Source organism: Homo sapiens, chromosome 16, assembly GCF_000001405.40.
Source record: "Homo sapiens chromosome 16, GRCh38.p14 Primary Assembly".
NCBI classification, from domain to species: Eukaryota; Metazoa; Chordata; class Mammalia; order Primates; family Hominidae; genus Homo; species Homo sapiens.
Window position 1 is genome coordinate 77,799,546 of NC_000016.10, and position 25,956 is coordinate 77,825,501.

The window sequence follows — 25,956 nt, forward strand, 5'->3', positions numbered from 1 at the left end:
TGTGTGTGTGTGGTGTGTATTGGGGGAAAAGGAGAGGGTAAATACTCCAAAAGGAATGGAGAGCAATTACCAGAAAGAGGGGGATAAGAAGCACATGAGACTATTTTAAATGGCAGCCATCATGAGTGGATGCGAGACTCTTCTTCATCCAGTAAAAAGTGAAGAATCGGAGGGGAACTGGAGAAGTCAGGTCCATTCCCTCTCCTGTGATTGTACCTTTCTTACCACAGTTATTAAGTCACATTAAATAACACATATTTTCAACTTTGAGGCCCATCATCTTGTAGATATTTTTGGTAATCTTGGAAGTTCTAGGAATTTTCTCTGTGATCAGTTAACATGATGCCAAGCATGGTGCTTGGTTCACAGTAGGCACTCAATAAGTCTGGAGAATGAGTAAATATATTACTGACTTTCTAGTAAACATGACCTTCCTAATACAAACAGTGGCCATTCCTGGTCAGTGGGGCTCAAGCTTCCCTTCCTCATCTCAGCTTTCTCCTACAAGAAGCTAAATCTCTCCTAAGGCCTCTCACATGCAGATCTGTGAGTGAGAACCTGGAAGAATACCAAACTATGTTTTCATAGGACTATATTTTCAGGAGTTTTACTTCTCCTTAACACAGTCTATTCTCTTGGAAGAAGAAATGAATAATGACTTTCCCTAGCCTGGGAAATGTGGGTCTCTGAGTTCTCACGATGCTCTGTAATTTTCTCCTTGTTGATATCTGGCTTCATCGAGTGCCGCAGACCAAAGCTCTTAGAGAGAACCTGCCATGCAGGCCCAATGACTGTTATTTCATGAGCAATCACTCAAGCATCCCTGCAATACATGGGATTATCAGGTATACCTGGGGACTCTAAGGCCGACCAACATGGATGTTAAAATCATAAACCCTATTTCCACGACTCTGTCCCTACCCTTCGTAGGTATCAGGCACCCCAAACTGCACCCTTCAGTACCCACAGAGAGTTTCAAGGGTTGCCTAGAAGGTGTTGCACAGGTACTCAGAAACACAGTTCTCCTGGTTGCCCAAATGATCCTGAACCTTTCCTATTGCCTTGTTCTTTTCCCACTGCCATACACTAAAGCCACCCAGAATATGTCCCCATTTTCTCCCTGTTCCAGATAGAAAATCAGGCTCCCTGCCTGCGCTGTGGCACATTTTCCCCCCAGTGCAGGTTACAAAGCAGCACATGCTACCTTGTATATTTAATGCTCCCACTGTTTGGAGTTAATAGGAAAGATACATTAATTATATTTCACTATTATCATAATAGCCTTTTGTTCTTGTTTTTTTGAGACAGAGTCTCACTCTGTTGCCCAGGCTGGAGCCCACTGGTGCGATCTCGGTTCACTGCGAACTCCGCCTCCTAGGTTCAAGCAATTCTCCTGCCTCAGCCTCCCGAGTAGCTGGGATCACAGGCATGTGCCACCACACCTGGTTAATTTTTGTATTTTTAGTAGAGATGGGGTTTTGCTATGTTGGCCAGGCTGGTCTCGAACTCCTGACCTCAGCTGATCTGCCCACCTTGACCTACCAAATTGCTGGGGTTACAAGCGTGAACCACCGCCCCTGGCCCCATAGTAGCCTTTTTTGGGTACTTTCCAAGTTCCACAAGCTCTATGCTAAGTGTTCTATGGTGATCCCTGTGATACCAAGCATCCTACCCGTGAAAAAGCATGATGAAGAAAGTGAAGGAATTTGCTAACCTTCACGCAAGCTACAGAGACCTTGGCTTCAAAACAGGATTACGTTTCTTTCCAAAGCCCATACTTTTCACTGTTTTGTCCTACACAGGAGATTCCCGAGCTAAAAAAAGAACATTCAGTAATAGCTGAAAAGAACGTTCCGCAATAAGAAACAACTACACTAAGAATGCAGCCCTTCATAGTTTGATCTGAAACGGTTTCATCCAGGCCTGTATTCTCCAACTCACTTTACCCTTAGGATGAGGTTTGTTATTGTTCCCAGAATACATAGCTGCCCTTCAGCAAATGAACAGATTGTGGGGCAGCCCCACTGGCCCAGATAGTCTGAGCCATATGATTCAAGGGAGCTCTGATGAGACTTTCAAACTGCACTCTTCATACTCCTACCCCTCCTCCCAACACAGGCACACTTGTACCTTTGAGCAGACTATCCATCAAAGTACACACTTTCATTTAAAAAAAAAAAAAAAAAGCATCCCTCATCTAGGATCAGAAAGAAATGCCTTTCATTTATCTACGCTACGCCTAGTTCAATCAGCTAATGGGGAGCTATTAAACCTACCATACCTATGATTGGTCTGAATGATTTTCTAATTGGTTTCCCTTTATCCACTCAGTTAAACTCCCTAAAATTGTTCCTACTGGGGACCTCATAATAAACTCTGACTCAACGTTTTGCAGCCGGAATCGACGATGCATGACGCAGCCATCCATGCGCCCACCTTCCTGAAACAGTCCTTTCAGATTTGAAGGCCTTCTCTGTCTGACCCCGGAGGAGAGACAGACAGTCCATGTCTCTGGGACTACTACTTCATAGGAAATGAATGGCAAAGGCAATTTTCACCCTCCCACCGCTTTGAGCCTCAGCATCTCTGTCCTCAGCCAGCAGCACATGTGGGAGACTCCACAACTTCCTTTTGCATTTTTAGCAGTTTTCTTTCCTTTTCCTAGTCATCTTTTTTCCTTTTGTATCCTTAAGATAGCTAGGCCTGTTTGTTCTTGAATGGAGACCCAGCTTCCAAAATAATTGAAAAGCACTGTGAAAGTCTTGAGTCCCTTAGAAAACACTAAAGTTGCCGGGGCACCGTGGCCCACGCCTGTAATCCCAGCACTTTGGGAGGGCAAGGGGGGTGGAGCACAAGGTCAGGAGTTCAAGACCAGCCTGGCCAAGATGGTAAAAGCCCGTCTCTACTAAAAATACAAAAATTAGCCAGGTGTGGTGGCAGGCGCCTGTAATCCCAGCTACTCGGGAGGCTGAGGCAGGGAATTGCTTGAACCCAGGAGGCAGAGGTGGCAGTGAGCCGAGATTGTGCCACTGCACTCCAGTCTGGGCAACAGAGCGAGACCCCATCTCAAACACACACACACACACACACACACACACACACACACACACACACACACACACACTAAAGTTGCATCCATTCATGGCACGGACAAAACTTCTCAAACATTTTCTTTTCCTGTGTACATCCCTTAAGTGCCGCTGCTCCCTCCAAACTCTCCCCTACTCTGTTCAAACTCTTCCAGACTTTGAAACCTTGCTCTTGCCATTTCTTGGCAATCTTTATTCACCCTTCATATCTAGTCTTTAATCTTTCAGGAGTAAATCCTTGCTTTTTTTTGAGGCGCATCAATCAAGCAGGCCTTTGATCTTCTCAGTTTCCTTCTCACCATCACGGCAGCGGACACAGCAGGGCCGGCAGCCCAGCAATGATTTCTTTCGTGAGAAGAAAGAATAGGGCTCAAATCATTCCTAGGTATTTTCCTACTTACACCTTCAGTGCAGAAATTATTGTTTGCCAGCCTTTAATGTGCCCTGTGCTAAGCACTGAACATTGAAAGGTGGATTTTAAGACAAGCCCTGTGCCCTAAAGTTGCTCATAGTCTACAGGGAAGATAATAGGGTAGAGATGCTACTACTCTCTCCTCCTTAGGATCCATTAGACTTAAATATTACCTAACTAAAAGTTCAGTTCCTTAGTCACACTAGTTACATTTCAAGTGTTCAATACCACATGTGGCCAAGTGGCTACCATATTGGAGAGCAGCAAGGACAGAACATTTCCATCATTCCAGAAAGTTCTATTGGACATGTCTATTCAAGTCTTCACCTCCTTTTTTGTTCCTATTGAAACAACCATTTTACTAGACATTCTTTTTTTTTTTTTTTTTTTTGAGATGGAGTCTTGCTCTGTTGCCCAGGCTGGAGTGCAATGGTGCGATCTCGGCTCACTGCAAGCTCCACCTCCTGGGTTCAGGCCATTCTCCTGCCTCAGTCTCCAGAGTAGCTGGGACTACAGGCGCCCTCCACCACGCCCGGCTAATTTTTTGTATTTTTAGTAGAGACGGGGTTTCACTGTGTTAGCCAGGATGGTCTCGATTTCCTGACCTCGTGATCCGCCTGCCCGGGCCTCCCAAAGAGCTGGGATTACAGGCGTGAACCACCATGCCTGGCTACACATTCTTTTTATCAGCAGTAATGTCTTAGGAAATAGCTGTCACGTTGTAGGAAAAATGGACTATTTCTCCATTGAGACCCTGTCCATCTTTGGCTCCGATGAGAAATCAAACCATCATTACTCTATCTTCTCCCCTCTGTGGAGAGGTGAGATGGGGCTGGAGAGGCTGAGAGAACAGGAACAAGGGGCACGCCCATTCAGTGATACTTTCTGTGAGAAGAACCTGATCCCAGTGACGTGATTTAAGAACTACCCTCTCTGTGCTAGCTGTGACTCTTGTACAGCCTCCTCTTATGGAACTGTCATGCCGTGTAGTCATTCTTTTGTTGATCTCTGAGTCCTGGAAGGCAGAGATGTCATTGTCACTGTTGTGACATTAGTGCCTAGCCAAGCCCCAAAACACAGAGGGGTCTGTTGAATTTCAATTGGATGACATTAAATGTTCTATGCAACCAGTCACTGCCGAACACCTGTTTGAAGTGAATGCCTTGGTCAACATCAAACATGGAGCATAAAGATGTTAACCTTTACAGGAACCTTAGGAATAAATACCTCCTGCTGTGTCCCGAGGAGGGGCTGAGAGTAAATAACTCCAGGTCTCAAAGTCAAAAGAGTTAGTCTCAGCATCTAGGAGTGCTTGTTTTGGACCCTTTCGGACCTGGCTTTTCTGTTTCTGCTGAAAACTGGCTCTAGACATTTAGATTCTCAATATGTCTCCTGGCTGTTTTGTTCTGTGTTGGAAATACTACTGAGGTGTGTTTTGAATACTAATTTGGGCATATGATCTGAATGTATTTCTTTTCCCAGACACGGTAGAAACAAAGAACTTGTACAACTGTATCCCAAGCTATATTACCCTCATCATCACTGCCAAGTCACTTCCTCCCTCCTCTCTGTCCTTATTTCAGCCATGCTGGCCATCATGATGAGTTTGTCCCTGGGATTCTACGCTTTCCCCTCTCCTTCCCCTTCCATCTTTTTTCCTCTCTCTCCTCATGAGTTGGCATCTTGTGCTCCTGCTACAATGAGCTTCCTTCTTGAGGCTGGAAAAGGCGGTGGTCTTTAGCTCCAGCAGCCATGTACAAATTTAGCAAGTCCCACTGCAAAGAGAACTTTTTTCTCCCAGTTTCCTCCCAGCATATGTTATGGACAAAGGGATCTCAGTGGGGCAGTGACAGCACTACTAATGTAAAGTGGTAGATTATGAATAAAATCAGATGGGTCGGAAAACTCCGTATGTCTCCCGTGGCTGCAGTGGCTTGCTTATCTTAAAATAGTGGTTAGAGAGGGTGGACAGGGTTATGTGGAACTGGTCACCAAGGGGACCAGTGTCAAGAGCCATGAGCCAGCAGTGTGGGAAGGGAGTCTGAGCATCCCAGCATACCCTTTCCAGCCTCTGATTGAACACAGGTGGATTCTTCAGGTGAATCCTAAGACCTCTCTGAGACAATTCTGGCTGTTCTCAAATAAGAGCTGCCATCTGAGATTTGCATAAACAGTGTCCTTGCTTTGGTCACTGTGAGCTTTTTCTTTCCTAGCAAATTTGTGTCAGTCTGTTCCCACAGTCTTGAGATAACAAAACTGGCACTTGAGCAAATCAAAAAAGAAAAAAGATTTATGCCCAAGATTTTCTGAGATCAATGCCTATTTTCCTAAGCATTTTCAAGTTTTCAGTTGAGATTAAGAAACAAAAACAAAAGCTTCAGTTCTGGGGCAATGAGAAAATTAATCAAACATCTGCTTCTTTGACCCCGCATGGATTGGGAGTTAAGTGCTTTGATGAACATATTATCAGCAAGACGAGAGCAGAATAAGCAAAGAGCACACCTTCCCTTACTGCGTCTGCTTGGCACAAAGCCTCGCACGAGGTCTGCTTGCTTCTGCCCGGAGCTGGCAAAGGCTGCCACAAATGCAGGACTGGTTAAAGTTCCGAGGCAGAGGGCTGGTAAAGCTTTCTATTGAGAATTTGATGGTGCTTTCCCTGATGCCTGCCTCTCCGCCAGTGTCGTGATCTCCGACTTCCCACAGACACATAGAAAGCCCTGAAGTGTGATTTTTCATAGATTTTCCCCAAGCAGTTTACCAATCCTGCATGTATTTATCTGCTTGTTACTTTTTGTGTTATTTTTTCCTTAGTCTCTGCCTTTTTTTTTTTTTTTGAGATGGAGTCTTGCCCTGTGGCCCAGGCTGGAGAGCAATGGTGAGATCTCAGATCACTGCAACCACCACCTCCAGGGTTCAAGCAATTCTCCTGCCTCAGCCTCCTGAGCAGCTGGGATTACAGGCGCCTGCCACCATGCCCAGCAAATTTTTATATTTTTAGTAGAGTCAGGGTTTCACCATGTTGGTCAAGCTGGTCTTGAACTCCTGACATCAGGTGATCTGCCTGCCTTGGCCTCCCAAAGTGCTGGGATTACAGGCCTGAGCCACAGCACCCAGCCTCTGCCCCCTTTTTAAATTCCTCGATCTCTTTCTTTTTCTTTCTATTTATTTATTTACTTATTTTGAGATGGACTCTCGCTCTGTCACCCAGGCTGGAGTGCAGTGGCAAGATCTCGGCTCATTGCAAGCTCCGCCTCCCGGGTTGAAGCCATTCTCCTGCCTCAGCCTCCCAAGCAGCTGAGACTACAGGTGCCCACCACCACGCCCGGCCAAGTTTTTTGTATTTTTAGTAGAGACAGGTTTCACCATGTTAGCCAGCATGGTCTCGATTTCCTGACCTCGTGATCTGCCCACCTCGGCCTCCCAAAGTGTTGGGATTACAGGCGTGAGCCACCACGCCCGGCCAAGTTTTTTGTATTTTTAGTAGAGACAGGTTTCACCATGTTAGCCAGCATGGTCTCGATTTCCTGACCTCGTGATCTGCCCGCCTCGGCCTCCCAAAGTGTTGGGATTACAGGCGTGAGCCACCGCGCCCAGGCTGATCTCTTTATTTTTCTAATCTTCACTTCCTTTTTTTCTATGGGAACAACTGTTTTTACTAAACATTACTTTTATCATATCTTTTATGATATGATAACATATCATAAAACATAAGAACTTTATTTTAACATATCTTAGGAAACAGCTGTCATATCATAGCAAAAATGGACTGTTTCTCCATGGGAATGCTGGTCCTTGGTGGCTCCAGGGAGAAATCAAGACATGGCCACTCTGTGCTGTCTTCTCCCTTCCATGGAAAGCTGGGGTGAGGCCAGAGAGGCTGAGAGAATGGGAGCAAGAGGCACGCCCATTCCTAAGGGATACTTTCTGTGAGAAGCACCTGATCCCAGCAGGTTCTTTCCCCTCCCTCTCATTCTTTCAGGTTTTTATTTAAAGGTCTCATTCTCTTTCCTGCCTTTGCACCATTTGTTATAAGAACCACCAGATCTTTCCTCCTCAGGAACTGCCGTGCAAAGGAGCCTCATAAAAATTCACCATCAGTGACAGCTGCTCTGTGACCACAGGGGAATAAACCCTGAAAGGAGAGATCACACTACTCTTCTTGTAGTGGGAGCTAGTGTGCACCACCCCTAAAGCATCCTTTTAGAATCTCAGTGCTCACTCCCCCAGCTACCAGGAATGATGGCAGCTGACAGCTCACAGCTGGTTTCTCCTGAGGAATTGTTCTCAGCCAAAGAAAGTCTCCTTCCCCAAGCCTGCACCCCCTCCCTGGGGGCAGCCCTCATTCCTGACTGGTTGATGCAGGGGTGCAAAGGCCCAGTCCCCATGTCTTTGTTCAGAATTACTCAAGGAACCATGCTATGTCTGGAACTTTGCAAGGATGAACTGAGACCTCTTTACTGGTATATCAGAGTTCAACTTCTCCCCGTCCCCAGTCCAGCTTCCCTCCTGCCCATCTAGGAGTTGTCTTTTAGAACACTCCCTATCAGACCTCTTGCTGCAAATCTCAGTCTCGGAGTCTGTTTCCCAGGGAACCTGACCTATGGCATTTTCTTTGTGTCATAGTGATGACAGTGATTCGGATAGCAAGCTTATATCTGTTGAGCATTTACTGTGTACGAGGTACTCTGTTTTACATATACTGTCACATGCAATCCACACAACACCCCGTAAGGTGGTTGTGTTACTATCCCATTGTTGAGATGGAAAAACTAAGGCCCAAGGTCAAGCAACCCACTTGAGGAGGAGCCAGAAAGCTAAAGCTAAAGATCTAAACTTAGCTTTGGTGATTGCAGAGGACTGCTTGGAATAATTCTTTGGGGAGAACTTTCTGGAGGTTGATGCTTTGACTTCATGGTTATATTGTACATTAGCATGTGCCATGGTGGCTATATGAGCACTTTGCCTATACTCCAGAACAGGGCTCCCTGGGCCACAGACCAGTACTGGTCTGTGGCCTGTTAGGAAATGGGCCACCAAGCAGGAGGTAATTGGTGGGCAAGGAAGTGAAGCTTCGTCTCTATTTAGAGCCACTACCCGTCACTCGCATTACCACCTGCACTCTGCCTCCTGTCAGATCAGCGGCAGCATTAGGTTCTCATAGGAGCATGAACCCTATTGTGAGCTGCACATGTGAGGGATCTAGGTTGTGTACTTCTTATGAAAATCTAATGCCTGATGATCTGTCACTATCTCCTGTCACCCCCAGATGGGACCGTCGAGTTGTAGGAAAACAACCTCAGGGCTCCCACTTGATTCTACATTATGCTGAGTTGTATAATTATTTCATTATATATTACAATGTAATAATAATAGAAATACAATGCACAGTAAATGTCATGTGCTTGAATCATCCCAAAACCATCCTCCCACCCCTGCTCCATGGAAAAAAAATGTCTTCCATTAAACTGGTCCCTGGTGCCAAAAAGGTTTGGGACCGTTGCTCTAGAAGACCACTTGTCATCGTACAGTGATCAGTTTTGTTTCTGTTTTTGTTTTTGTTTTTTTTGAATCAGAGTTTCATTCTTGTTGCCCAGGCTGGAGTGCAATGGCGCAATCTTAGCACACCACAACCTCCACCTACCGGGTTCAAGCAATTCTCCTGCCTCAGCCTCCCACGTAGCTAGGATTACAGGCATGTACCACCACACCTGGCTAATTTTTTGTATTTTTAGTAGAGATGATGTTTTTCCATGTTGGTCAGGCTGGTCTTGAACTCCCGACCTCAGGTGATCCACCTGCCTCAGCCTCCCAAAGTGCTGCGATTATAGGCGTGAGCCACCGTGCCCAGCTGTGATCAGTTTTTATGATTCTGTTTCCCCATGAGAATTTGGAGCCCCTTGTTAACTTTGGGCATCCACTACCTAGTATACGGCATAGTATACAGTAGGCTCAATGTGCTAGTTGAGTGGAGAGTTCTTGTCTTTGTAACTGGGAAAACTGAGCCATGATCTTTCTCTAGGAGAGCAAAGTACATTAGTCAAGAGCACAGGCTCTGGATTTACATCACTTGCTTTCGCAAGTAATGTAAGCCAGGTAAAACCAACATTTTGTAAACCTTAATGTGCTTTGGTTTTGTTCTTTGTAAAATGGGGGTAATATTGTTGATCTCTTAGCATTGTTTATGGTTGTTGTAAAACTGAAATGACACTCAACACCATGCCTGATACATAGAAAGCGCCCCATAAAAGTTACCTATTACAATTGCTAGCCACAAATCAATTCTTTTCCTTCCCATCCTCCATCATCAGAGAAATTAGAAAGGCCAGATTTCTGTTAGCTTCTTGGGGATGCCTCCAACAGTCACAAAGCCCTATAGGACAGCCCTCTCAGAAAGAGTCCATTCTTTTTTGATCTTTTTTTTTTCCATGGGAACAGCTGACATTGGGCTACTCAAGTGGTCCTTTGCAACCCTAACAGCACATGAGAGTGTGTGCTTTCACTAAAGAGACTCTCAGAGCTGGGGCCAGGATGTGCACTTTCAGAAAAAATAAATGTCATGATGATCCTGACTTGCATTACAAAAAGTGATTGTACTCAAGGCTCATCCCCTCTTCTCAGCAATTGCTGCTATGGGTAGAGGGAGGGGATCTACTGCCATTGCCCACAAAGAGAGAGGGTTCATAGTCTTTATCGAGTTTACTACATGTGACTTCAAGGTGTCTTGGAACTATTTCATAGAATCATGAGAGCTCCAGATTTGAAGAAAGGATGTCAGCTAGTCTTGTGTTTTAAATTTCCTCCATGACATCCTTCATGGTCTTCACAAACATCCTTAGTAACCAGGAACGGGGCAGCCTGTCTGATATTTTTATCAGCAACTTGGATGTAGAAGCTCGTGTCATGATAACCACATTTTCACAGGCTACAAATCCAGGAGGGAGAATTAATTTTTTTTGATGAAAGAATTAGAATTCAAGAAAGAGACAGACAAATGAGAATGATGAACTTAATCTAATAACACCAAATCTAGCAAGGATAACTATAATCCTCTGGACTAAGATCAAAAATTCAACTGCCCTAGAGGACAATGAGAACTTTTCATTTACTTTCTATTTAACCATTTAATTTGTACTCTGTCTCATTTAGCAAAAGACTTGAATTAGCTTTAAAAAATAAAACAAGATCAGTGATTCTCTAAGTGTGGTTCCCAGATCAGCAGCATCAGCATTACTTAGGAACTTAGAAATGAAAAACTTCAGACCTCGCCCCAGATCTACTTGAGTCCAGAACTCAGAGGTGGGGCCCAAAAATCTGTGTTTTAACCAGCCCTCCTGGAAGTTCTGATGAATAATAAAGTTTGAGAACCATTCACAATACTACTAACACTGGTAATGGAGTATAAGGATTTAAAAAATGGAATCTCCAAAGTACTCAGAGGTTAAGATGAAGTTGATTATTAAGATGATATAGAGGCCGGGCACGGTGGCCCAGCACTTCCCACACTTCCCAGCACTTTGGGAAGCCAAAGTGGGAGGATCACCTGAGCCCAGGAGGTCAAGACTGCAGTGAGCCATGTTCACGCCTCTGCACTCCAGCCTGGGTGACAGAGCTAGACTCTATCTCAAAAACAACAACAAAAATGATATAGAGAATGAATGTGACAAATTTGGCTCAGAGCTTCCTAGCAGCCAATGCAAAGAAATAAACATAACCAATGTATATACTGTACTGAGCCTATAAGATCCATAAAGCCAATCCTTGTGCTGAGATTTGAGGAAAAAGTACTGTCTTCATAAAGTCGTAAATATATATTGTAGCAAATTATATACTTAACAAAATCCCTACAGTAAGTATTAAAAGTAATGGCACAAACCACAATTACTTTTGCACCAACCTAATAAAACAATGGGTTTCTGAAGATTCTTTGGCAGTCTGTCTCTTAATTGAACTAATGACAGAACAAGACTTGGGATTTCTATTGAGTATAATAGGAAAATATAGGATGAGGCTCTATAATCTGCATCAATAGAGAAGTAGGTTTCGGAAGAGGGAGATTTGTTTAATGATCTGACACTGTTTGGATTTTCATGATTGATGCTGAGGATACTGACAACCTGAGGAAAGAACAGGATAGCAAGAGGCCTAAGATCTTTTCATATGAGCAACCCCTGCCTCTTTTTCACCAGGAGAGTAGAAGACAAGGGAGCATCTCCATGCTACATGTATCTTTGCTAAACTCCTTCTTTTGAGTCACTTTTAACCTCAAATTGGAAAATTAATAAACTATAGCTGGGCTGATTCTTTTGTCATCCACTTAGTGATATCTTTTAAGAAATCAAATGTGTCTTCATTTGATATTGTTAGCATATCCAAAAAAAAATTCCAAACGATAAGCTTTGGGGACAAGAAGACACAGCGGCCTACCATGGTTTATAGATCACACAATGACAGCCTGGTGGTCAGAACTCAAGCTTGGCAGTCATATAAAAAGGGCTTATATTCCCAGTTCTGGTACGAACTATATAACCTTGGACAAGGTACTTTATTCTCGCTTGGTCTCACCTCCCTTTTGCACAAAATGGAGATTAAAACACTCCATCCCTTAATACCTAACATGTAGCAGTATCATCACGGGAGCAATGTTTGTTGACTTTGGCAAGACAAAAATAAAGGCACCTAACCATCTCTCAGGAGACTTTACAGGGTGATATTCATCACTTACTAGGTAACAGAAAAGAAAGTGTAGAGGCCAAGGCTAGCTTTTAACTCTTATATAAAGTCTAAGCATACAAGTCAATGTCTTTTTCTCAAGACCACCAAGCGTCTCTTCCTCTCTACCTAAGCTTTGATTTTGATAATGTTTGAAACAGAGCCCACAGGATAAAGGACCATCAAACAAACAGACGATGAGAGCTGGGGAAGGCTTCAGAGACTCAGCCAAACTCCACCGCTAATTGATGGCAGCACAGGGATTAAAACCCAAGCACCTGCATCTGTTTCTTTTCACTGTTTCCTTTCAGCCTTCTTGTCCTTGAATCTTTTTTTTTTTTTTTTTGACAGAGTCTCGCTCTGCCACCCAGGCTGGAGTGCAGTGGAGTGATCTTGGCTCACTGCCTTCCAAGTTTAAGCGATTCTCCTGCCTCAGTCTCCTGAGTAGCTGAGACTATAGGCGTGCGCTATCACGCCCGGCTAATTTTTGTATTTTTAGTAGAGATAGGGTTTCACCGTGTTGGCCAGGCTGGTCTCGAACTCCTGACCTCAGGTAATCCACCTGTCTCGGCCTCCCAAAGTGCTGGGATTACAGGCGTGAGCCACCATGCCCTGCCGTTCCCGAATCTTAAAACTCTTGATTTTAGTAACATTTGATTTACTTGAGATTTCATGGTGTTATGGGATACACAATAAGGAAGGAGTTGGAAGACCTTTATTCAAGTCTCGGCTCTGTCACTGTCATGTACTGTCAGTGGTGTTGTGGTGCCTTTAACAAGTCAGTTTTCTTATCTGAGGCTCAATGTTCACATCTATTTAATGGGATTAACGGTATCTGCACTTGTTTTCTCAGCTTGTTACGAATTTTAATGAGATGTGTATGAAAGCACATGGTAAACCATGCTGTACTCTACAAATATAAGAAAGTGTTATTATTTTAAGGAACTGTCCCCCAATTTTCCTGTATCTTCCCTAACATATCTTCAGATCCCTCATTCTAACTGTTGAGCTTTTCAGGGTCTCTTTTTCAAACCTCTATCTTCATTCCTTCAGGATGCCATGTCTCAATGATAACTCTTTAAACCTAGCCTCTGACTAATAATTTAGTATGGGAAGAAAACTGAGACAGTCTTATATTATTTATTAAAATTATACCAATCTTTGAGAAAAATAGGATTACCTGGCAGAACTTTATGTCAGGCACTTTCCAACACTATTTCTTTTTTTGCAATGATCTGAAATGTTTAAGAGCTGTATAAAATTTTTACTCCATTTGTGGGCCTGAGTCATCAGGCATAGTCATTGCCACCCCCAAAAACATTCTAACTAAGAATCAGATTACCTTAGAGAATACTGGAAACTGTAATTGTGCAAAACAGGGGCATTGACATGCCCCTGTTTTTTTATTTTATTTTATTTTTTCTGTTGTGGTAGAAAAAGAAAAGGATTAGACTCAAGTTTTTAAGTTCATAGATTTCACTATTTACTGTGTGGCCTTGGGTAAATAACTTATTATCTCTAAACCAACAAAGTTATTTTTGTCTGAAGAAAAAAAAGTAGAGTCAACAATGTCTGTCCCAATGGGTGATTGATTACGGTATTCGTTTGAGTTTGTATCTTTTGGTTTCATATGACAGGGACCACACAGGTAGTCCAAGCAAAGAGCTTCTGCTATAAACACATGTGTGAAGTAATGAAGGAATTCATGGAAATCATAGAGCAGGAGGTGTGATGGAGCTGGACCTCTCCAAGCCCAGAGACTGGACCTCTCCTCATTCTAGGGAACTCAGCAATGGAAGTCTACAAAGCCTCATCCTGGTGCAGGGAGTTGGGTTGACTCTGTTGCTGTTCGTGTTTTTTCTTTTAATTCTTCCAGCTATTGGCTTTTCCACGTATGCTTCCCCAAAGCTCAGGTCAACTAGATCTCTGTCACTCACTTCTGTCTTTTGACATCCTTTCTATTGCTAAGTCGTTCTCTTGATGTGTGTTTCCCAATTCATAGTTTTACAGAGAACACCCAGTTCTTGGACCAGCTCATTTATTCAGTTTAAGGAATGGGTTCCCGTCTAGATTATGAATGGCCACTCCTCCAATACTGGGCCCACATTGGTGCAGTCAGTTCTCTGCAAGGGGGAAGATATAAAGAGCTATAAACATGGCTCTTGTATGGGCAAGGGCGGGGCATAGAGAAGTTCCCCTTAAAGAGGTAGAGTGTATTGCCTAAGGGGTCAGGTTCTAGGCTTTGCATGAATTCAGATCCTGACTTTGACACTTTGAAAAGATGTGATGGCAAGCAAGTTACTTACGCTCTCTGGGTCTCAATTTTCTGATCTGAAAAATTGGTATGATAGTTCATACCTCATAGGAGGAGTATTGATGAGTCTTAAATAACAAAAGTCAAGCACTTAGCACAGTTCTTGACACAAACTAAACGCTCAGCAAAAGCTAGCTATATCCAAATCAGGAGAAACAGGTCTGATCCAACACTCGGGAGTACTCTGTTAACAATTATTTACATCCCCTTTGTGTGGAAATAAACAATACTGACCTGTCCTAGTCTCCGTCTCCAAAATACACCTGCGTCCTAAAAATAGGGGGCATTCTCCATGACCTGACAGAATCGCCTAATGCCTCACTGAGGAAACAGGGTGCTACAGGCTTTTGAAAAGTCAGTGTTAGCCTCTTCTCATTGGAATTTAAGTAGCTGGCTCTCAGTTTACCATCACTGGGCCCAGTTCATGCTGGATGGCGAATGCAGGCAGCCCAGTTGAGCAGCGTAATAAGTGTCGAAGATGAGGCCTTCTCCAGGGGGCTGCCATGTTTGCAGAAATGGCAACAAATTTCTTCTAGCATTTTTCCAACAGGGCCTTGGGAAATCATTGGTTTTCATGAAAAGAAAAACACAATGAGCTAAAATATACATGAAATGAGATGGAGTGCTTGATTCAGGTTGTAGAAATTTTATTTACTGTTATACAGTGATGCGTTATTTATTTGATTGTGTCAGAAAATCGGCCATTTTATACAAGTGAAGTTCAGAGATAGCTGAAGTTTTTCCATGTCAGCTGTGAAACTGTTTTTAACCCTTTTTTTACGAGTGCCTTCCTAAAATATATCACATACTTCTGCCTTCTTAACGGAAGATGCAAATTTCAAGGCTAACATGTATTGAATACTGACTATGTACGTGGCACCACATGTCAGTGCTTTATGTGCATTAATTTTCAATGACAGCCCTGTGAAGTAGGTACTGTCATAACTCCCACTTTACAGATGTGGAAACTGAGGCATGGAGAAGTTAAGTAACTTTTCCCAGGTTATAGAGATAGAAGTGGTAGAATTGGGATTTGTACCCCAGTCTCCCCAAGCTCTTAAGGAAGTGGCCATGTTAAATTATTAACATTTCAGTTAATAAATGACCTGGATAACCACTAATCATTGAAGTAGGATCTTTGGGAGTCTACAAATATCATTCAGAAATGTATCCATTACTCCAAATTCTTTGACTGCTTTTTAGAAGGAATTAGCACTCAAACTGGCAGCACATATTTTTGAATATCCATGACTATTCCTTCATTCAGCAGATGTTACTTGAGTCCCTGCTATATTACTTTGGGTCTGATGCATGCCAGGCACACTGGAAGCAGAGAAATATGAGGCATACAGATGCCTTCAAGGAGGTTGCACTTTAGAGAAATACCAGCCGGGTTCAGTATGTGAAACTTCTCTAATTTGTGGTTGGGAAAACTTTGAGAAGGTGGTGAGTTTTGAGCCCAGACTTCAAGGAAGTCGTCTTACTCACCTTTATTCAGTCCCTGTGTATGAGACTCATAAGTGAGACCAGTGGGCATAGGTGGAGTTAGATGCTTCCTTGGGTCCAAAGAGACCAGGGAAGAAATAAGCAAGATGTGCTTTAGAACTAGTTCAAGTTGGCTGGGCACAGTGGCTCATGCCTGTAATCCCAGCAATTTGGGAGACCAAGGTGGGCGGATCACCTGAGTTAGGAGTTTGAGACCAGCCTGGCCAACATGGCGAAACCCCATGTCTACTAAAAATACAAAAATTAGCCAGGCGAGTTGGTGTGCACCTGTAATCCCAGCTACTTGGGAGGCTGAGGCAGGAGAATCGCTTGAACCCGGGAGGTGGAGGTTGCAGTGAGCTGAGATCTCACCATTGCACTCCAGCCTGGACAACAGGAGCAAAACTCTGTCTCAAAAAAAAAAAAAAAAAAAAAGTACATTAGAACCACATCTGTTGGGAAAAAATGCATGTTTAATGGGATGTGTTTCCCCATGTGATTAGCAAATGGGTGTTAAATGGAATTCCCAAGAGCAGTTCTGATAAAATAAAAAGAGTCCAGGAGCATTGCTAATAGCGTCATTGGAATCAAGTGTATGGTTTTCCATTATGATGACTTTGATATATTTTAATAACTTTCTTATTCCAAAAGTAATGTGTTAATCAAAAATATCTAATAATATCTCTCATCTGGAAATAACTTAGATTTTTGAAACACTCCAGTATTCCCATATCTATTGGGGCATTCATTTGATCTCTCTTTGAGTCCCCTCTCCTCCAGTGGAACATAATGTAATCTCCTGATGGCTTATATTCACCATTGTGGGAGCTGTTTATGCATAGTGCTGATGTAAGTGTGTGTGATGATTGAGGAGAGGTGGTTGGTTGTTTTGAGACCTTAGGTCTTCTTTCTCTTTCTCAGGCACTGGCTAGTGGCCATTAGGTCTGGCTGCTTTCCATGTGTCTGTTTATAACCACTTCCTGGTAAATCTTTTACCTTTGATTAAGTACTAAGAACTCTGATAGCCAGGCTAGTCAATATGTTTTTAGAGTAAGCATAAACAGGCTCTGAGAGAAGACAAAGGGGCCATCTCTTGAATCAGTGTAAACTCTGCAACTACTGTTTTCATTGCCACAAATGTATTGCTTATCTGCATAGAGATAATTGAATTTTGCATTATTGGTGACATCTAGCTAAGCGGCATTACTATTAGGGATACTTTGCCAAAAAGAAAAAAAAAAGACAGGAAGGAGTGAAGAAGGGAGGGAGGAAAGGAGGAAAAGAAAAGAAAGAAAAGAAAACCAGGTCGGTGCTTTCTTTTGGATCTCATTTTGAATTTCTCTCCTTTCACATTTGCTCTTTACAGTGGATTAAACTTCATTGACTTGATGGTGCGACAAGGGAATATTGACAACCCTCCCAAGACTCCCCTGGTGCCAGGATTTGAGTGTTCTGGGATTGTTGAAGCTCTGGGGGACAGCGTGAAAGGATATGAGGTAATGTTTGGCTCTCAATTGAAGAGTAATATTCATTTGGAATCCATTGAGACAACAAAAGATGATGCAGAAAGAAATGTCTGAAATAACCTATGGCGTGCATTATTATCATTGTCTTCTTATTTGGACTGTTGACAATGTTTATAGTCATTAAGGTCTCATGCCTTTTTTATAGACTATCTTGGTTGCTCCTGGCAGCATTCTGGTGCAGGGGGCAGGACAAATCTTGTCTCCCCCTTCATTCATGTCATGCAGCTATTCAACAAAAGTATTTGGCATTTGGATTAACTAAGTGTGCATAGCCCCTTCCCATATCCGGAACTCTCATTTTCTGATCATCTTCAGCTCAAAATGCAACTACAAAACACAGAAGTGTAGAGGAAATGGACTCTCTATTTTATAACCTGGCTCCCTCAAATAGTCACTTAACTGGTACATTTAAGTAATCATTTATAAATCCCTAACTACTTCAGGAATTGGGGAGGTAGCATTTTGGATGAAGAAGATGTTAAAGTCAAAGAGTGGAGGTACCTGATAAGTAGAACAGAACTGGCCATGGATTGATGGCTTTGGAAGTAGGGAAATGGGCAAAAAGGTTTATTACATTATGCTGACTACTTCTGTACATGTTCAAAATTCTCCATAATAAAACCTTTTTTAATTTGTAAAAAGATGTATGACCCTTCCTACTATTATAACGCAAATCAAATAGAAACCAGTCTATAAAAACTGAAAACCTGTGCACAAGTCAATTACACAAAATTGCAGTAGTTTGGAGTCAGAAAAACCAATGCAAATCAGGTACAAGGGCTCTTACTCATAACTAAGTGCTCCCCTAGGGAGGAATGAACATTTGAGAACCCGCTATAATCAGAACCATGGAGAAGTTATCTTTTTTAAGCCTCCACCATAGCCCTGCAAAGCAAAGATTGTTATCCCCTTGCAGATGAGGTTCGGGAGGGTTCAGTAATTTTCTGTGAGGTCAGAAGGGTAGTTAGTACCACTAGAACCCGGATTCAAATCACCAGAGCTTGTTTATCCTTCCTACAGTCTCATGATCTTCACTCCCTACTCCCAGCCCCCAAATACTGCAATAATAAATGCAGGACAGGAGAGCTAAAGAAGAATCCTATAAAATGCAGTGCCAAAATGCCCTTGAAATTGAATTTGAGCCTGCTTCTCAGTCTCAGCGTGTCTGAGCCTCAGTATCCTGTGAAAAGATCAATATGCTCCAAATTCATTATGAAAAATGTCTGGAAATCTCATCCCATTTATTAGTATTTTTGCCAATGGTTTTCAGATAAGACAGCAGATAAATGTTGAGAAAGAGGCAGTAAATGAGTCTTTTCTTTTCTTTTATACGAATTTACATTTTTTTGTCCCCAGGTAAGCAGTGTAACCAAAGGCACACTATCTCACCCTGAAAGTGCTGCACATAAGAAATATTATCTTCTCTTCAATCCTCCACATGGTCCCCAAAGAAAAGATCATGCAGCTCACTCCGTTAACCCCAAGCATTGAATAAATAACCAGTTATTTTAGAATATAACAGGAAACAGGGACATTGTTCAACTTGGTTTAGAGGGAGAACTTACTATACTTGATTATGTATATTTTTCCTTTCAATATGACTTATCTTTTGCTAATTTGCCCTGGCTTGTTTACTATCAAGCCCACCCATTAAACTCTCTCCCTTCCAGTGACTTGTGGCTGCACAAAAAAATAAGTCACTTACTCGTTTCCAGTTAGGGTGTGATATGGGAGAAAACTGACACTAGTATTCCATCTATAATTTTGACTTAAGATCTTCAGTCATATTGGAGATGGAATTCCTTGCAGCAGCACACTGAATAGCTCTCTTGGTTTGATAGATCGCAAAGGATGATGAAAAGCTGTCACCGGAGGCCGGGTAATAAAGGAATAACTTGGGTGCATTTTGGCCAGGACTGATTTTTTTTTTCTTAGCAGAATCAAATAATGAGATGAAGTGGTTATGTTTTAAATGTGCCTGCCTCTGGACTCTGAGACTGGAGCTGAACCTATGGCTTGGACATATTTGCTATTTTGATAATGAAATGGAAGTGATGGAGCAAAGTCAAAGGAGAGATCTGGGAGCAGCCAGCCCTGTAGTGATGGCCATGAGCACCACTGCCAAGGTGGTTGAAATATTCTGTTCATTACACTCTGTGCTGACCCTGGAGGCCATCAGCTATTCTGTGGGACTGAGGCTGTGTCTTTGGGTTTTCGTGATTCTGTGAAGAACAGGATGCTAGTATTAGACCCTAGTTATCTTCTGATGCACTGAAGATGATATTCTTTTCTTTTTTCTTTTTTTTTTCTTTTTCTTTTTAGATGGAGTCTCACTCTGTCACCTACGCTAGAGTGCAATGCCACAGTCTCAGCTCACTGCAATCTCTGCCTCCCGGTTTCAAGTGATTCTCCTACCTCAGCCTCCTGAGTAGCTGGGATTATAGGTGCCTGCCACCACACCTGGCTAATTTTTTGTATTTTTAGTAAAGACAGGGTTTCACCGTGTTGGCCAGGCTGGTCTCGAACTCCTGACCTCAGGTGATCCACCCGCCTCAACCTCCCAAAGTGCTGGGATTACAGGCATGAGCCACCGCGCCCAGCCTGAAGATGATATTCTTCACATTCACTAATTGGTCTTCACCCCTTCCGGGGATTGGGACACTCACTGACAGTGGGACAGCCTCTCTTACCCCAGTTTCCTCCTTAGACAGCTGTTCCTCCTGCTTTCTGAAATATAATGAGTCAGTATTTAACTGCTGATTGCTAAACTGTGAATTCCATCAGGTCAGGAACCAATCTGTTCTTTTAGAGCAAACATGTATTGCTCTTTCCTCATTTTCCATGCACCATGTTAAGTGCGTTGGGTGTGTATTATGCCATTTAGTTTTCATAAAGACCCTTTACTAATATTATACCCATTTCAGAGCTGAGGAAACTGAGCCCTGAAAAGTTCAACTAATATTTCCACACTTTGTAGGTTCCTCTGTTATGCACCCTTATATAACGTTATGTTTCCTTTGGAGCACTTTTCTCAAGTGTAATGAATTAATTATTTGTATCTGGAATCAGACTATCTGAGGCCATTTCTTTCATGGTTTCAAGAGGATTGAGGTAGACTCCCGCACCTGGTCAGATTGAACTTTTACCTAACACTAGGAGGAGATGACAATAGTCATGGTGACTCCCAGGGTTTCCGTGATTCTCCCTCTACAAATATATTAGAACTAAGAAAACTCACCATGGCCTTGGCTGAGGCTACTTCCAGCTAGATGAACCAGTGCTGCTTTAGAATCCCCCTAAAATCAGCAAAAACACACATTTAGCTGAAGACCAAACCCCTTGCCAAGAAAAGGAAAGCTCATCGATGCTCACATCCTCAAGCTCGAGCTCTGTAGGGGTGTTTCCCATTGTTTCTGTATCTTTTCCTGCAGAATAAGAGAAGGACCCTCAAACCAGCATGAGCCGTCAGTCAGGATAGCCTCCTCTTAGTAACAGCTTGTCTTAGCAACACCAAGAAGATGGAAACTGGCTAGAACAAAGGAGAGCTCTGCAGAGAGACAGATCTGAACTGGAAGCCTTCTGCTTCTGCTCTTCAAAGGCTCCTTCACTTTCCAGCTTCAATTTTCCAATCTATATAAAGGGCACAGTCATAGTTCATTATTAGTCATGAACTTCAAGAACTACATGGAGTTCTTGTGGGAATTATATAAGGTCACATAAATAAAGGCACTTAGCGCAGATTCAGGAACATATTAGTTTTTGTTTTGGTAAATGCCATTTATTATTATCAATAACAATAGCACCTAGCAGCCCCTTCCCCAGTAGTTTCCCTGCCCCAGCAGTCCCTGCCCTAGCAGTGCATTCTAGTCAATTGCAGACACTGGTTTTCCCCTTTAGACCTACAGATGTTTCCTATGAGACTACTGAAAGCTTCTCCAGGACTGAATTTCTTCCCTTATTCTCTCCCATTTCCCACCCATGGAGAAGTTAGACAACGTTCAGTTACTTGTAATTATCCATCAACCCATCACTCACTATGCACCAAGCATTGGGTCATGCATTGAGAATCCATAAATCAATAAGACCCAGCCTCTGCCCTCTAAGATCTCCCCATTTAGAGAGGGAGCTAGTCATGTAAAAGGATAAGTCAATATAATGGGATCTGCATAATTATGAAGGATTATATAAGGAATTAGGTGGACTTTTGTTGAAATCTTGTCTTTTTTTTTTTTTTTTCGAGATGGGAGTCTCACTCTGTTGCCCAGGCTGAAGTGCACTGGCATGATCTCAGCTCACCACAACCTCTGTCTCACAGGTTCAAGCGATTCTCCTGCCTCAGCCTCCCAAGTAGCTGAGATTACAGCCACACCTGGCTAATTTTTCTGTATTTTTAGTAGAGAAAGAGTTTCACCATGTTGGCCAGGCTGATCTCAAACCCCTGACCTCAAGTAATCTATGTTCCTCAGCTTCCTAAAGTGCTGGGATTACAGGCATGAGCCACCGTGCCCAGCCTGAAATCTTGTCTTTACCACTTACAACTGTGTGGTCTTGGGCAAGTTATTTAACTGCTCTGAGCTTTAGGTCCCAGTCTATAAAATGGGAACAATAATAAAAGCAACCATAAGGAGTTGTCATAAGAATTAAATGCAGTAATTTAATTTGCTGTCTACTCAGTGCCAGCACACAAGCAGCTCTCAATAAACAGAGATACTGACAGCAATAAGAAGAGATGTCAGTTCTGCTTTTGTAGGGGAAGGTTGGTCGTCAGGGAAAGTTTTGGAGAAAAGAACATTTGAGCTGAGCTTTAAAGGAAAATCAAATATTTTCCTGAAAGAAAGACAGCACCAAGTGCAGAAATAGTAGATACAAAAGCATAAGGGTGTGAGCATGCACTTTCTCGTGTTTCCTGCTGCTTTTCCAGCATGCCCATAAGGGAGACACAGGCGTCAATACTGAACAGGCACAGGGGCTGATCCTTTCCTTCTCCTTTGCTCACATTGTCTGAGCTCCCACCCACTGCTGCCACTTTTTATTGTTAGCTCATGTTTTATTTTATTTATTTATTTATTTAGAGACGGAGTTTCGCTCTTGTTGCCCAGGCTGGAGTGCAATGGTGCGATCCTGGCTCACTGCAAACTCTGCCTCCCAGGTTCAAGTGATTCTCCTGCCTCAGCCTCCCAAATAGCTGGGATTACAGATATGGGCCACCACACCTGGCTAATTTTGTATTTTTAGTAGAGACGGGGTTTCTCCATACTGATCAGGCTGGGCTTGAACTCCCGAGACCTCAGCCTCCCAAAGTGCTGGGATTATAGGCGTGAGCCACCACGCCTGGCCTGGCTGATGTTTTATTCTTAATTGTACCCTCTCTGGAACAGACTGCTGTCACCACTAGTGTGGAGAGCCACCCCCTTCCAGTATCCAAGAAATCTAGGGTCATTTAGGGGCTTGGAGGAGGGGAGAGAAGAAGGCATGTGGGGGCTGAGCCACAGATAACATACAGATAAATCTAGGCAAGGACCTCTCCCTCTCCAGCAGTCCTGGGAGGATTCAGAGAGGGGAAGACCTGCTTAGGTTTATGCCAGGCTACCCAAGGATAAGGAAAGGAGATGCAAGGAGGCAGTGAGAATGTCCTCCTTGCCCAGCTGTCGGATCATCACATTGATTAATTACTTGCCTCTTTTCTCAAAGCGAGCAGACCAGACTTTGCCTTGCTCTTGTTGCTGTCACGAGAGCCCCAGAAGACACACTGGGGCAGAGCAATTTGATTCTGTGGTTCAGGTGTCTTTTCTGAATTAGGTAACCCGAACCCCTGCCCCCGACAGAGCTGCCCTGGCAGCTGGAGCAGAGGTGGCCAGACTCACTTAGAACATTGTTGATGCTGTCTCCAACTGTCTCATTCACCTGAACTCCTCATTACCCAGGTCTGAATGGTGCCAAGATCAGTCTGTTGTCTTTATACTATATCATCCTGTAGCCAAACGGACAATCAAGTCCTCTGGATCCTGTTCCAGACACACACTGAGGCTGAAGCAGCTCTATTCCAAAATACGCAGAACTGGCCAACCTGGAAAATCCCCAGGGTTTTGGGAGCGCTCACCTCCAGGCTACTCTGACATCCCTTGACCCCACCCACCATTCCCACACCCAAAAAATGAACTCTGTTATCTTTGGACCGATATCTGAAACATCGTCATCATAGTTTCATGCTTTTGGCTTAAGACTGCATTCTCTTCTGAAATATTATCCCTTCCAAGTAGATTTTCCTCTAAGCCCTATCACTCATAGCACTTGTCATATGAAAATATCAGAGAATATGAATAATTTGAAAGCATGAGCTGTACCTCATTTACAGTTTTATCTCCAGTGCCTAGAACCTAAGATCAAAAAGGGGCTTCATATGCAAACATGGCGGGTGCTCATTGTGATGTCATGGAAAAATATTTGGAATTAGACAGGCTTCACTCTGTATGTCATTAGGCAAGATACTCAACCATTCTTAGTCTCAGTTTCTTCAAAATTATAATAAGAATAATATCCTATTAAGCTTTCATGTAGATTAACTGACAAAATGAAGATTACAGTCTAGTACATTATGATTGTTTAGCAAATCATAGATTTCATAGTGATCAAATGTACATATAGAAAAACCTCTCAGCTGGGTACAGTGGCTCATGCCTGTAATCCCAGCATTTTGGGAGGCCAAGGCGGGTGGATCACTGAGGTCAGGAGTTCACAACCAGCCTAACATGGTGAAACCCCGTCTCTAATAAATACAAAAATAAATAAATAAATAACCAGGCATTGTGATGTGTGCCTGTAATCCGAGCTACTTGGGAGGCTGAGACAGGACAATCGCTTGTACCTGGGAGGCGGAGGTTGCATTGAGCTGAGATCGTGCCATTGCACTCCAGCCTGGGAAACAAGAGCGAAACTCCATCTCAGAAAAAAAAAGAAAAGAAAAAGAAAAACCTCGCATGAGGAGGAATCCATTCTCCAGCCAGGCTGTAAGTTCCTCATGTTTGGCTATGGGGACTACATTTTTGAGAAGTCCTAAAGGAAGGACAGAAGTTTGCCAGGTGAAAGGTGGTTTCAGAAGAATGAAGGAGGGCTCTGCATTGTTTTGCTACCTTCCTTAGATGCACTGACACTTCCCAGGACTTTCACTACCACCTAAATAATGTTCAGAGTTTCAAGGAATGGGTTCTCAACTAACCAACTTAGCTGGTTCTGGAGAGGAGAGGGTAGTGGCTGAAGATGGGTGGACAAGAAACATAGAGCTGTCAATGGTTCATTAAATCAGTTGTATTACTTGTGAAATGTATTAGCTTTTTGCACTGCAAATGTATTTTAAAAGTTATTCGTTTCATCAAAGTATTAAAAAATGATTGTGGGCCAGGCACGGTGGCTCACGCCTGTAATCCCAGCACTTTGGGAGGTCGAGACAGGCGGATCATGGGGTCAGGAGATCGAGACCATCCTGGCTAACATGGTGAAACCCTGTCTCTACTAAAAATACAAAAAAATTAGCCGGGCATGGTGACAGGCACCTGTAGTCCCAGCTACTCGGGAGGCTGAGGCAGGAGAATAGCGTGAACCCAGGAGGCAGAGCTTGCAGTGAGCTGAGATCACGCCACTGCCCTCCAGCCTGGGTGACAGAGCGAGACTCCATCTCAAAAAAAAAAAAAAATGATTGTGATACTAAAAAATTTGGATAGAGTTCTCAAGTGTATGAGTCAGGAAAAACCATGTGTTTGTACCGTGGATAGCTCCCAATAATGCTTTTTTTTTTTTTTTTTTTTTGGAGGCAGAGTCTTGCTTTGTTGCCCAGGCTGGAGTGCAATGGCATGATCTCAGCTCACTGCAACCTCCGCCTCCTGGGTTCAAGCAGTTCTCCTGCCTCAGCCTCCTGAATAGCTGGGACTACAGGCATGCGCCATCACGCCTGGTGAATTTTTGTATTTTTAGTAGAGATGGGGTTTTACCATGTCAGCCAGGCTGGTCTTGAACTCCTGATCTTGATTGATTCACCCACCTCAGCCTCCCAAAGTGCTGGGATTATACGCATGAGCCACAGCGCCTGGCCAGCTCCCAGTAATTCTGTTCTCTCCTTGAGCCTCTGTCATGAGGTAGCCTCCACTAACTCTGTGTTTCCCCATGCCCAGATTGGAGACCGTGTCATGGCATTTGTCAATTACAATGCCTGGGCAGAGGTGGTCTGCACACCAGTGGAGTTTGTCTACAAGATCCCGGATGACATGAGCTTCTCCGAGGCTGCTGCATTCCCCATGAACTTCGTCACAGCCTATGTGATGCTGTTTGAAGTTGCCAACCTCCGGGAAGGGATGTCTGTGCTCGTGCACTCAGCTGGTGGGGGCGTGGTAAGTCAGCTGTTTGTAACTTCTCTTCTTTAAGGTCATG

At 43.3% G+C, this 25,956-nt stretch overlaps 1 protein-coding gene and 1 long non-coding RNA gene across 5 annotated transcripts in view; one reads left to right on the forward strand and one right to left on the reverse strand.

The window, feature by feature from the left end:
* The window catches only part of LOC107984878 (uncharacterized), a 77,518-nt gene extending 56,676 nt beyond the window's left edge, over window positions 1–20,842 (reverse strand). For 3 of the 4 annotated variants that reach the window (XR_001752259.2, XR_002957866.2, XR_001752258.2), the window contains exon 1: window positions 20,774–20,842. This is a non-coding gene — a long non-coding RNA (uncharacterized LOC107984878). The remainder of the gene's footprint in view (window positions 1–20,773) is intronic. The other variant, XR_001752264.2, reaches the window with a different exon arrangement.
* Window positions 1–25,956, forward strand: part of VAT1L (vesicle amine transport 1 like) — a 191,544-nt gene that overhangs the window by 10,982 nt on the left and 154,606 nt on the right. Inside the window, exons 2-3 of the mRNA NM_020927.3 lie at window positions 17,376–17,505; window positions 25,701–25,916. Of these exons, the coding sequence (NP_065978.1) occupies window positions 17,376–17,505; window positions 25,701–25,916 (346 nt within the window). The remainder of the gene's footprint in view (window positions 1–17,375; window positions 17,506–25,700; window positions 25,917–25,956) is intronic.